The 13,610-nt window shown below is 38.4% G+C and overlaps 1 protein-coding gene across 5 annotated transcripts in view; it reads left to right on the top strand.

Moving 5' to 3' along the window:
- The window catches only part of TXNDC16 (thioredoxin domain containing 16), a 121,910-nt gene that overhangs the window by 72,750 nt on the left and 35,550 nt on the right, over positions 1–13,610 (top strand). For 4 of the 5 annotated variants that reach the window (XR_007064038.1, XR_007064037.1, NM_001160047.2 and 1 more), the window contains exons 15-16: positions 9,076–9,244; positions 9,583–9,719. Coding sequence is in view for 3 of the 5 variants with exons in the window: in NM_001160047.2 (NP_001153519.1) it covers positions 9,076–9,244; positions 9,583–9,719 (306 nt within the window). In the remaining 2 variants the exon portion in view is untranslated. Of the gene's footprint in view, positions 1–6,768; positions 6,871–9,075; positions 9,245–9,582; positions 9,720–13,610 lie in introns of those variants that run through there. The other variant, XM_017021505.2, reaches the window with a different exon arrangement.

The following is a 13,610-nucleotide window of genomic DNA, read 5'->3' as shown; positions in this document are numbered from 1 at the left end:
ATGGCTTTTGGCAGTATGGTCATTTTCACAATACTGATTCTACCCATCCATGAACATGAGATGTGTTTCCATTTGTTTGTGTCATCCACGATTTCTTTCAGCAGTGTTTTGTAGTTTTCCCTGTAGAAGTCTTTCACCTCCTTGGTTAGGTATATTCCTAAGTATTTTTATTATTTTTTTTTTTTGCAGCTATTGTAAAAGGGGTTGAATTCTAGACTTGATTCTCAGCTTGGTCGCTGTTGGTGTATAGAAGAGCTATTGATTTGTGTACATTGATTCTGTATCTGGGTACTTTGCTGAATTGTTTTATCATTTCTAGGAACTTTCTGGATGAGTCTTTAGGGTTTTCTAGATAAACAATCATATCACCAGCAAACAGCAACAGTTTGACTTCCTCTTTACCAGTTTGGATGCCTTTATTTCTTTCTCTTGTCTGATTGCTCTGGCTAGGACTTTCAGTACTGTGTTGAAGAGGAATGGTGAGAGTGGGCATCCTTGTCTCGTTCCAGTTCTCAGAAGGAATACTTTCAACTTTTCCCCATGCAGTATTATGTTGGCTGTGGGTTTGTCATAGATGGCTTTTATTACTTTGAGGTATGTTTCTTGTATGCCAGTTTTGCTGAGAGTTTTAATCATAAAGGAATGCTGGATTTTATCGAATGCTTTTTCTGCATCTATTGAGATGATCATGTGATTTTTGTTTTTGATTCCGTTTATGTGGTGTATCGCATTTATTGACTTGTGTATTTTAATCATCCCTGCATCCCTGGTATGAAACCCACTTGATCATGGTGGATTATCTTTTTGATATGTTGTTGGATTCAGTTAGCTAGTGTTTTGTTGAGGATTATAGCATCTATGTTCATCAGGGATATTGGTCTGTAGTTTTCTTTTTTGGTTATGTCTTTTCCTGGTTTTGGTATTAGGGTGATACTGGTGTCATAGGATGATTTAGCGAGGGTTCCCTTTTTCTCTATCTTGTGGAATAGTGTCAATAGGATTGGTACCAATTCTTCTTTGAATGTCTGGTAGGATTCTGCTGTGAATCTGTCTGGTCCTGGACTTTTTTTTTGTTGGTAATTTTATTACCATTTCAATCTCACTGGTTGATATTGCACTGTTCAGAGTAGCTAATTCTTTCTGATTTAAGCTAAGAAGGTTGTATCTTTCCAGGAATTTATCCATCTCCTCTAGGTTTTCCAGTTTATGTGCACAAAGGTGTTCTGAATGATCTTTTGTATTTCTGTGGTGTCAGTGTGATATCTCCCATTTCGTTTCTAATAGAGCTTATTTGGATTTCCTCTTTTCTTTTCTTGGTTAATCTTGCTAATGGTCTATCAGTTTTATTTTTCTTTGCAAAGAACCAGCTTTTTGTTTCATTTATCTTTTGTATTTTTTGTTGTTTCAATTTCATTTAGTTCTGCCCTGATCTTGGTTACTTCCTTTCTTCTGCTGGGTTCGGATTTGGTTTGTTCTTGTTTCTCTAGTTCCTAGAGGTGTGACCTTAGATTGTCTGTTTGTGCTCTTTCAGACTTTGATGTAAGCAGTTAGGGCTATGAACTTTCCTCTTAGCACTGCCTTTGCTATATTCCAGAGGTTTTGATAGGTTGTGTCACTATTGTCATTCAGTTTGGAGAATTTTTAAATTTCCATCATGATTTCATTTTTGACCCAACGATCATTCAGGAGCAAGTTATTTAATTTCCATGTATTTGCATGGTTTTGAAGGTTCCTTTTGAAGTTGATTTCCAGTTTTATTCCACTGTGGTCTGAGAAAGTACTTGATATAATTTCAATTTTCTTGAATTTATTGAGGCTCATTTTGTGGCCTCTATCATATGGTCTATCTTGGAGAAAGTTCCATGTGCTGTTGAATAGAATGTATATTCTGTGGTTGTTGGGTAGAATGTTCTGTAAATACCTGTTAAGTCCATTTGTACCAGGGTATAGTTTAAAGCCATTGTTTCTTTGTTGACCTTCTGTCTTGATGACCTGTCTAGTGCTGTCAGTGGAGTATTGAAGTCTCCCACTATTATGATGTTGCTGTCTATCTCATTTCATAGGTCTATTAGTAATTGTTTTATAAATTTAGGCGCTCCAATGTTAGGTGCATATATATTTAGGATTGTGATATTTTCCTGTTGGACAAGGCCTTTTATCATTATATAATGACGCCCTTTGTCTTTTTTATAACTGCTGTTGCTTTAAAGTTTGTTTTGTCTGATACAAGAATAGCTACCCCTGCTCGCTTTTGGTGTCCATTTGCATGGAATGTCTTTTTCCACCCCTTTACCTTAAGTTTATGTGAGTCTTTATGTGTTAGGTGTGTCTCTTGAAGGTAGCAGATAGTTGGTTGGTGAATTCTTATCCATTTTGCAATTCTGTGTCTTAAGTGGAGCATTTAGGCCATTTACATTCAATGTTAGTATTGAGATGTGAGATACCATTCCATTCATCATGCTATTTGTTGCCTGTATACCATTTTAAAAAAATTGTATCTGTTTTGTCGGTCCTGTGAGATTTATGCTTTAAAGAGGTTCTTTTTTGATGTGTTTCCAGGATTTGTTTCAAGATCTAGAGCTCCTTTTAGCAGTTCTTGTAGCGCTGGCTTGGTAGTGGCGAATTCTCTCAGCATTTGTTTGTCTGAAAAATACTGTATCTTTCCTCCACTTAGGAAGCTTAGTTTTGCTGGGTACAAAATTCTTGGCTGATAATTGTTTTGTTTGAAGAGGCTGAAGATAGGGCCCCAATCCTTTCTAGCTTGTAGAGTTTCTGCTGAGAAATCTGCTGTTAGTCTGATAGGTTTTCCTTTATATGTTACCTGGTGTTTTTGCCTCACAGCTCTTAAGATTCTTTCCTTTGTCTTAACTTTAGGTAACCTGATGACAATGTGCCTAGGCATTGATCTTCTTGTGATTAATTTCCCAGGTTTCTCTGGGCTTCTTGTACTTGGATGCCTAGTTCTCTAGCAAGACTGGGGAAGTTTTCCTTGGTTATTCCCCCAAATATATTTTCCAAATAGATTTCTCTTCTTAAGAACACTGATTATTCAGGTTTGGTTGTTTAACATAATCCCAAATTCTTGGAGGCTTTGTTCATATTTTCTTATTTTTTTCTTTGTCTTTGTTGCATTGGGTTAATTCGAAGACCTTGTCTTCAAGCTCTGAAATTCTTTCTTCTGCTTGTTTGATTCTATTGCTGAGACTTTCCAGAGCATTTTGCATTTCTATAAGTGCGTCTATTGTTTCCTGAGGGTTTGATTGATTTTTATTTATGCTATCTATTTCATTGAATATTTCTCCCTTTACTTCTTGCATAATTTTTTTTCAGTTTCCTTACATTGGGCTTTGCCTTTCTCTGGCACCTCCCTGATTAGCTTAATAACTAACCTTCTGAATTCTTTTTCAGGTAGATCAGGGATTTCTTCTTGGTTTGGATCCATTGCTGGAGAGCTAGTGTGATTTTTTTGCGGGGGTGAGTTAAAGAATCTTGCTTTGTCATATTACCAGAGTTGGTTTTCTGGTTCCTTCTCATGTGGGTAGGCTCTGTCAGAGGGAAGGTCTAGGGCTCAAGGCTGTTGTTCAGTTCCTTTTGTCCCACAGAGTGTTCCCTTGATGTAGTACTCTTTCCCTTTTCCTAGGGATGTGGCTTCCTGAGAGCCGAGCTGTAGTGATTGTTATCCCCCTTCTGGATCTAGCCACCCAGCAAGTCTACCAGGCTCCAGGCTGGTACTTGGGGTTGTCTACACAGAGTCCTGTGGTGTCAACCATCTGTGGGTCTCTCAGCCATGGATACTGGCACCTGTTCTAGTGGAGGTGGCAGAAGGGCTAAATGGACTCTGTGAGGGTCCTTAGCTTTGGTTGATTAATGCACTATTTTTGTGCTGGTTTACCTCCTGCTGGGAGATGGCACTTTCAAGAGAGCATTGGCTTGAAAGTGCATTGGTATCGGGAGGAACAGGCAGTAGGCAGGACCCTATAACTCCCAAGAGTATATGCCCTTTGTCTTCAGTTACCAGGGTGGGTAGTGAAGGACCATTAGATGGGGGCAGGGCTAGGCGTGTCTGAGCTCAGATTCTACTTGGGCAGGTCTTGCTGCGTCTGCTGTGGGGGATGAGGGTGAGGGTCCCAGGTCAATGGAGTTATGTTCCTAAGAGGATTATGGCTGTCTTTGCTGTGTCATGCAGGTTGTCAGGGAAGTGGAGGAAAGCCGGCAGTCACAGGCCTCACCCAGCTCCCACACAACCCAAAGGGCCAGTCTCACTTCCACTGTGCCCCCACTCAACAGCACCAAGTCTGTTTCCAGGCAGTGGGTGACCAGGGCTGAGAACCTGCCCCAGGCTACCTGCCTCCCAGCTGCAAAAATAAGTAGGGCTTTCTTTCTTCCCCAGCCTGTGGAGTCTGCACGCTGGATTCATGCCCTCCCCCGAGTTCTGGCCAGGAGACTCTTCGATTGGTTCAAATTGTTACAAATTTCAGGGGGAGGTTTCCTTTTCTCTGTGGCCTTCTCTGAGTGCCTCTGGTAGCCCTCCTCAAGGACCCCTTGTGAGGTGAGGCACAAATGGCTTGGTAGGGGACCCAGCTAGTCCACAGGGATTTTCCTGCTGCTTCCTTTACCCGTGTATTTCGCTTTCGCTCAGCTCTCTAAATTGACTAAGCTCCAGATAAGGTCAGAATCTTCTCCCGTAATCTAGACCTTTAGGTTCCCCGGTGGTGGGGTGTGTGTTCAGGGGTGGACGATCTGCCTTTCCCACTTCCACAGTTTGAGCACTCACAGTATTTGGGGTGTCTCCCAGGTCCTGCAGGTGCAATCACTTCCTTCAGAGGGTCTGTGGGTTCTTTTGGCTTTCCTAATGTATTGCTGCAGTTTTGGAGCAAAAGTTCATGAGGCGAGCCTCCACACGCTGTTCTGTCTGTCCCCGTTCCTTTTATTTCCCAACCACATTTGATCTAACTTTTGATTATTACTGAGTGAGGGGATAATGAAGTCTGTAGACACTGTGATCTGTAATTTTTTTTTTTTTTTGAGATGGAGTTTCACTCTTGTCGCCCAGGCTGGAGTGCAATGGCATGATCTCAGCTCACTGCAACCTCCGCCTCCTGGGTTCAAGTGATTCTCCTGCCTCAGCCTCCCGAGTAGCTAGGATTACAGGTGTGCACCACCGTGCTTGGCTAGTTTTTGTATTTTTAGTAGAGACAGCGTCCAGGCTGGTCTCAAACTGCTGACCTCAGGTAATCCACCTGCCTCAGCCTCCCACAGTGCTGGGAATATAGGCATGAGCCACTGCGCCCAGCCTCTAATCATTTTTTTAAAAAGCAGATCCTCTTACTTGCTTTCACATTTTCCTTTATGCAAGGCAAGTTGCAATCTATGGACAAATTTAAGTTTTCTTCTTTTAGATTCTCTAGCCTTATTGGCAAATAATTAGAAGAAAAGCAAAGGAGGAGAAAATATAAATCATAATGAAGTAGTGATTGGATAATGTTCCTCAAGAATATGATTAATTATCCCTCTCTCCACCCCATTTAATTAGACACCAGATGAAAATGGAAAAATATTTCCTTGCATTCTTTTCTATTAATGACCAAATGAAGAGACTACCTGCCCCCTCAATGCAAGGGCTCAGAGTTGTATGTGTTTGTAGAATAAAAAAGTAGTTAAGCAACCCAGGACTTGTTTTCCTTTTCATTCACTATGTTCTTTATGAATAACAATTTTTTTTGGTAATCAGATATCAGATAAATGGACTATTTTGGAAGTTCAGGGAACTTAATGTAGAAATGCATTGCATAGGTAATTACAATGTTTTGTGTCTATGTTGAAGCCTATACTATAACTTTATAAGTTAGGAAAATATAATACCTTGGGCATTTAGTCCTATCATCTGTCTTTCTGACAGATCTGACTTTGTGGGAAAAAGCCATTTGTTATCTCTTAGTCGAAGACAATGAAGAATGTTTTTTACTCTGTCACAAGGTGGCAGCAAATGTCAAAATTTTATACTTACATAATACCTGTATCTAAGATAATCTGTTTTTTCTTTTAAGTTAGGAACCTATTTGAAATTACTGCATTGATAAAGTATATGGGATGTAATACTGTAGGCACCTTAGAATACTAGACTATTCCAACTGAAACATGAGTAAATATTGGAACCATTTTACAGGAATTGATAACTTCAGTATAAGTAGTTATATAACTTTTAGTGATATATATCAGTATTACTTTTCTGGTTTTAAAGATAACATCAAAGTTTTCCATTTCAACTGTAGGGAAAAAGGAATAATCACAGTTTTAGCAGTAGTAGACATGCTGAGGATGCTTATTGAAAGGAAAGAACTGCAGCTGGAAGAGCACTATATTCCATACTTGGGTGGCAAAATATGTAACGTGGCACTTTGTATAAACAAGCATCACCAGATGTTTATTGATGAAATCAAAGCAGCAGCGTTGTCTGGGGTATATACCCTGGGGTTCGTTGTCGCGCACCAGGAAAATTTAGAACACGGACACACACAAGTTGTTTAGGAGCAGAGGTTCAATAGAGAGGAGAGAAAGAGAAACAGCTTCCTCTATAGAGGAAGGCATCTCCAAGTGGAAAGGACTGGCTGGCAGCGAATGTGTCGAGTTTTATAGTCTAGTTTGAGAAGGTGGTGTCTGATTTACATAGGGCTCATAGATTGCTTCAGTCAGGTATGATATTTACATAGTGGCATAGGGAAGTCTGGTCGCCCCACCTTAATCTTCTTATACAAATGGTCTTTCCAGTTGTCTGGGGCCATCTTGTCTGCTCCTTACAGCACACATGGCTGGCAGAGAAGGGAAGACAGAGCGGCCATCTTGGAAACGTCTAGTCCTTAGTTCCTGCCGGTACGTGCACCCTTGCAGCTTGCAGGCTGCTCTTTGTTAGAAAAAGATTTGGGGCTGCTTTTCACTAAAAAGAAAAACCTTACCGAGGACTCCCCATACCCTTGCTATCTGCCTAAGTGATTTCTTCTTCACTCCTATATCAAAATGATTAAAATAAAGGATAAGAGAACTTTGATAGGAAGTCACTTAGCAGGTCTGATTTGGGAAGAAATAAGGGTTTATATTTGTTTATATGCTCATACAAAATTCAAGTATTAATATCCTTTAATGTAAGAATTTAAAATTTGTGAAGAAATATCAGTGTACATTCTACACATTTTTACTGGGTACATACTGTGTAACAGACATTGTGCAAGGCAGTGGGATATAGTGGTGATAAGACAGACTTAAGGCCGGGCGCGGTGGCTCACGCCTGTGATCCCAGCACTTTGGAAGGCTGAGGCAGGCAGATCACGAGGTCAGATCAGGACCATCCTAGGGCTAACATGGTGAAACCCTGTCTCTACTAAAGATAGAAAAAATTAGCCGGGCATGGTGTCACGTGCCTGTCGTCCCAGCTACTCGGGAGGCTGAGGCAGGAGAATCGCCTGAACTCGGGAGAGGAAGGTTGCAGTGAGCCGAGATCACGCCACTGCACTCCAGCCTGGGCAACAAGAGCAAGACTACATCTCAAATATACAAAAGCAAAAAAAAAAAAGACAGACTAAATCTTGCCTATATTATCAGATTGTTAACACTAAATCTAAAGTGATAAGTTATTACATCTATGAGAAGTAATCAAGAATCTTTGAAAATATACAAATTAATTTCAGTATTAAAAACATTTGGTGATAAAATATTAAAATACCACATTCACAATTTTAATCATATGATGAAGTAACATTTAGGCTATATCCTAAATTGATACACAAAGATTCCTTCTTTGATCTAGTATGATACTAAATTTTATCTTTTATTAGAATTTATTCTTTCGAGTTGTATGGTGCTTATTTTATTTAGTGTTTGATCTCTTTCCACACAGTGATTTATAATATTTTAGAGAACTTTACACGTTTTATTATAGAGCAAGTAGGAATTTCTGCTTGAGATTCTACTGTGTGTTTTCTTAGGCTGAAAAGAAATTATAATGTTTAGACAGGATAGGTATCTGAAGTCCTGGATGAGTTTCACATGTGTCATTTATTCACATGCATATTTAAGGTACTGCAGGTGCTGGAAAATCAATGATAAATAAACAGACATAGTCCCTGCTCTCAAGGAGTTGTCTTGGTAGAGACAGACGTTGATCAGATAATGAATAGTATATAATTACATAAGGAGATAAGGAAAAGAGCATGGTTCTATAATAGCATATGTCAAGGGAACCTGATGTAGATCACTGTGTCAGAGAAGGCTAGTCCTTGAAGTTGTACACGGTAAGAAAGATTTAATTCTGCAAAAGGTTGGTGGGGGTAAGCTGGTACCAAAATATTTGAGTTTTGAAAAGATATCTCTAGCATTAGTGTAGACACACTGAATTCAAAGAGGCGAATTAGAAGCCTATTGTAGTTATCCAGGAGGAACGACAACTTGAGTAGTGGCAGTAAAGAGAAATGGACAGTAATTAGATATATTAAAAATTCAGGTGGTAAAATTGAAAGAACATGCTGATTAATCAATAGGCATGAAGGGCCTTGGGAATGGAGAGGTATGAAAGATGATGCTTTGTTTTTTGAGTTGCACAAGAGCAGCAACGTTCACCAACAAACAGAAAAGAAACCATATATGGTTTTAGACTTGTTGAGTTTGAGGAGGTTTCCGTTCAAAGGAAAACAGAGAAGGTAGTAAGGATATATGGGTCTGGAACTTCAAGGAGTTTGGGCCAAAGACATAAATTTAGGATTCATTAGATTGTCTATGGTTATTGAGGTTGTGTAGGACAGGAGTGAAGAAAAACAAGAGAAGGCAGCTTAAGCTGAGCCTTGAGGGACCTCCAACTCTACTGGCTGAAGAGCCTGCAAAAGGGAACAAAAAGGAGAAGCTAGAAAGGAAGGGAAAAGGCCAACAGGGAATGGTGTTGCAAAGATCAAGGGAAGAGAGTGTTTAAGCAGGAGTGTTTCATGCTGAGAGGTTAAAATAAGAATGGGATAGAAAAATACTGAAGATCCTAAGCAAATGCATTTTCTACAATTAGTAATTACAAATGTGCATTTTCCTTTTATTTAGGCACATCTACTATGCTTCTTACTAGAATAAACTGTGCAGATTGGTCTGATGTATGTACTAAGCAAAATGTTACTGAATTTCCTATCATAAAGATGTACAAGAAAGGCGAGAACCCAGTATCTTATGCTGGAATGTTAGGAACCGAAGATCTCCTAAAATTTATCCAGCTGTAAGTATTCAGCTTCATTATAAGATCTCTGAATGTTTAGGTCTTTAGAAGTTCTAATTCTCAGACTTTGCTAACACTTAAAATAGGTTAAGGAAGATACTAGAATTGAGATCACAAAATGAATATTTATGAAAGTCTGTGTACATTTCAACACTTTTCGGGAGATAGCAATTTTGTTTAATGAGTCTGATTTTCTTTAAGAATAATATTTAATTTTCTATATTTTGTAAGATATTATCCTATGTAATATATTGTTTGCTATGTTTAGTATGCTTTTTTTTTACAAACTGAAAATATCTTAAAAAATTAATTTGTAATATAGTTATATGTTTATCCAGCAACAGGATTTCATATCCAGTGAATATAACATCGATCCAAGAAGCAGAAGAATATTTAAGTGGGGAATTATATAAAGACCTCATCTTGTATTCTAGTGTGTCAGTATTGGGACTATTTAGTCCAACCATGAAAACAGGTAAGCAGAGCTGAGCTTTTAAATTATACAGTAGAGTATATCATTGCTTGCTAGTTTTATTTTTTAAGAATATCTTTTTAAATTATAGAGAATTTCAAAATTATGGAGAAGTTTGAAGAAAAATAAAATATCGTAAGCTAATTATTCAGAGATAGTGTTAAATTTTGATGTAATTTCTTCCATCTTTTTTCTGTGTACCTACAGATTGCATATTTATGTATGTTTTAACATAATTGGGCTAAAACTGTGTATCTAGGTTAGAATCTTGCGTTTTTTTTGTTTGTTTTGTTTTTTTGAGACAGAGTCTCGCTCTGTCACCAAGCTGGAGTGCAGTGGCGTGATGTCGGCTCACTGCAACCTCTGCCTCCTGGGTTCAAGTGATTCTCCTGCCTCAGCCTCCTGAGTAGCTGGGACTACAGGCACATGCCACCATGCCCAGCTAATTTTTGTGTGTTTAGTAGAGACGGGGTTTCACCATGTTGGCCAGGATGGTCTCCATCTCTTGACCTCATGATCCGCCTGCCTTGGCCTCCCAAAGTGCTGGGGTGAGCCACCGCACCTAGCCAGAATCTTGTTTTTATTTAACATTACAATGATGTATTGATATTCTTCATGAACATTATGGCTACATAATATTTGGTGAATATATATATCAAAATGTATTTAAATTTGTTTTTTGTTTTTTTTTTTGAGACGAGATCTTGCTCTGTCACCTAGGCTGGAGTGCAATGGCATGATCTCGGCTCACTGCAATCTCTGCTTCCTGGGCTCAAGCAATCCTCCCATCTCAACCTCCTGAGTAACTGGGACCACAGACATGTGCCACCATGCCCAGCTAATTTTTTGTGTTTTTGTAGAGACAGGATTTCACCATGTTGCCCAGGCTGGTCTTGAACTTCTGAGCTCAAGTGATCCACCCATCTTGGCCTGCCGAAGTGTTGGGATTACAGATGTGAGCCACCACACCTGGCCTTATTTAACTATTTATGAACAATATTTGTACTGTTTCCTTTTTTTTTCCTTCTGTATGTGAAGAATATTTTTGAGTCTTTGTATGGATTTTAGACCATATAATGAGTTTAGGTTCCCAATAGAATAACGTATGTCTTCTATAAATTGTAGGTTATATACATTACTCATGGTTTTTTGTTTTTTTTTTTGAGACAGGGTCTCGCCCTATTGCCCAGGTTGGAGTACAGTGACACAATCACAGCTCACTGCACACTCAACCTCCTGGGCTTAAGTGAGCCTCCCACCTCAGCCTCCTGAGTAGCTAGGATTATAGACATGTGCCACCATGCCCACTAATTTTTTAATTTTTCATAGAGATGAGGTCTCCCTGTGTTGCCCAGGCTGGTCTCAAACTCCTGGGCTCAAGCAGTTTTCCTGCCCTGGCCTCCCAAAGTGCTGGTAGTATAGGCATGAGCCACTGTACTTGCCCACTCACTTTTTAAAATGGAGTTTTACTGTTTGTCTAATGAATTGGTGTGAGACCTTTGTATATTAAGGATATTAAGCTTTTGTCATTTTGTTTCAGTTATTTTCCCTCAGTCTGTTATTTGCTCTTTAGCTTTGTTTAATGATAATTTTGTATATCACAGTTTAAAATTTTTTTAATCTATTGATTTTAAGATTTCTTCTATTGCTTTTAGCTATAAAAAACCCTATCATTTTTGTCACCTAATATTCACCTGTATTTTTTCTTGCTTTAATTTACAATATTTTCCTATTTTAATTTGTCTTGCTTTGTATATTTTTTCTTTTAAAAAAATTTTGATAACATACACATAACGTAAAATTTACCATCTTACCCATTTTTAAGTGTATGTTTTACAAGTATTAAGTATATTCACATTGTTGTACAACTAATCTCCAGAACATTTTCATCTTGCAAAACTGAAACTCTGTACTCATTAAACAACAGCTTTTCATTTCATCCTCCTCCCAGGCCCTGGTAACCACCACTCTACTTTCTGTTTATATGAGTCTGGCTACTCTATGTACCTCATACAGGTGGAATCATACAGTATTTATCTTTTTCTGACTGACTTATTTCACTTAGCATAATGTCTTCAGGGTTCATCTATATTGTAGTGTGTGTCAGAATTTCCTTCCAATTTAGGCCGAATAGTATTCCATTGTATGTATATATCTTATTTTGTTTATCTGTTTATCCATTAATGAATTTTTGGGTTACTTCTACCTCTTGGCTGTTGTGAATAACGCGGTTGTGAACATGGGTATGGAAATATCTCTCTGGTACTCTGCTTTCAATTATTTTGAGTACATACTGAGAAGTGGAATTGCTGGGTCATATGGTAATTCTGTTTTTAGTTTTTGAGGAACCGCAGTACTATTTTCCGCCCTGGCTGCATCATTTTACATTCCTACCAACAGTGTACAGGGGTTCCAATGACTTTAACATCCTTGCCAATATTCGTTATTTTATTTTATTTTTTATGATAGCCATCTTAATGGGTGTGAGGTGATATCTTGTTGTGGCTTTGATTTGCATTTCCCAGACGATTAGTGATGCTGAGCATCTTTTCATTATGCTTCTTGGTCATTTGTATATATTCTTTGGAGAAATGTCTGTAACTCCTTTGCCTGTTTTTAAATTGGGTTATTTATATTTTTGTTGCAGAAATTCTTTATATATTCTGGATATTATCCTTTATCAAAGATTTGATTTGTAAATATTTTCTCTCATTCCATAGATTGCTTTTTTACTCTGTTGATTGTGATTTTTTTCCCTTTTTTAAAAGTTTTTAACCCTTTAGATATTTTAGTGCATGGGATGAGTGTTGGTGCCAACTTAATTTTTTTTCTAATAGTTAACGTTTATCCTTTTTTTCTCCTCTATATGTGATTTCACCAGCACCATGTTGTCCTTATCTATATGTGTGTGTGTGTGATATATGTCTGTTTAATTGTTTTCTATTTTATTCACTTTACCTATTGATACTTAGTCTATTAGTTTTATAATACATGTTGAATATAGAGTCAAGTCTCTGATCTGTCTTTTTAAATATTTTCTTGTTTTTTTTTCTATTGACTCTACTAGGTGAACATTAGTAATTTATACTTATTCTCTTAACTGATTTGGATATCTGCTGCTTGTTTTATGCTTCATTATTGTTTTTCTTTATTTTTTATTATTATTATTTTTTGAGATGGAGTCTTGCTCTGTCACCCAGGCTGGAGTGCAGTGGCGTGATCTCGGCTCACTGCAAGCTCCGCCTCCCGGGTTCACGCCATTCTCCTGCCTCAGCCTCCCGAGTAGCTGGGACTACAGGAGCCTGCCACCATGCCCCGCTAATTTTTTTATATTTTTAATAGAGACGGGGTTTTAACGCATTAGCCAGGATGGTTTCCATCTCCTGACCTTGTGATCCGCCTATCTCGGCCTCCCAAAGTGCTGGGATTACAGGCATGAGCCACCGCGCCTGGCCATTTTTCTTTATTTTTTAAAATATGGTGTCTGCTTCTTTTGCTTGTATTTTCTCCAGGACTAGAGAAAATGTTCCCCAAAAACATATTTGAACCTATAAAGTTAAAGATCGTTTCAATGATTTGGACTCCCTCTTGTGGAAGATGCTTTTAATTTCTTTTTTGAAGTCTTTTTTTTTTTTTTTTTTTTTTTTGAGACAGAGTCTTGTTCTGTCATCCGGGTTGGAGTGCAGTGGTGTGATCTCAGCTCACTGCAACCTCTGCCTCCCAGGTTCAGGCATTTCTCCTGCCTCATTCTCCCAGGTTGTTGGGACTACAGGCATGTGCCACCATGCCTGGCTACTTTTTGTATTTTTAGTAGAGATGGGGTTCTATGGTTTTTTTTTCTTTGTATGCCATGGTTTCATGTTATGGATTCATATTACCTTTATTGCTGAGCTT

The sequence above is a fragment of the Homo sapiens genome, chromosome 14 (genome assembly GCF_000001405.40).
Source record: "Homo sapiens chromosome 14, GRCh38.p14 Primary Assembly".
In the NCBI taxonomy this organism is placed as follows: Eukaryota; Metazoa; Chordata; class Mammalia; order Primates; family Hominidae; genus Homo; species Homo sapiens.
Note: the sequence above shows the minus strand (reverse complement) of the source record. Positions and strands in the feature narration are given on the sequence as shown.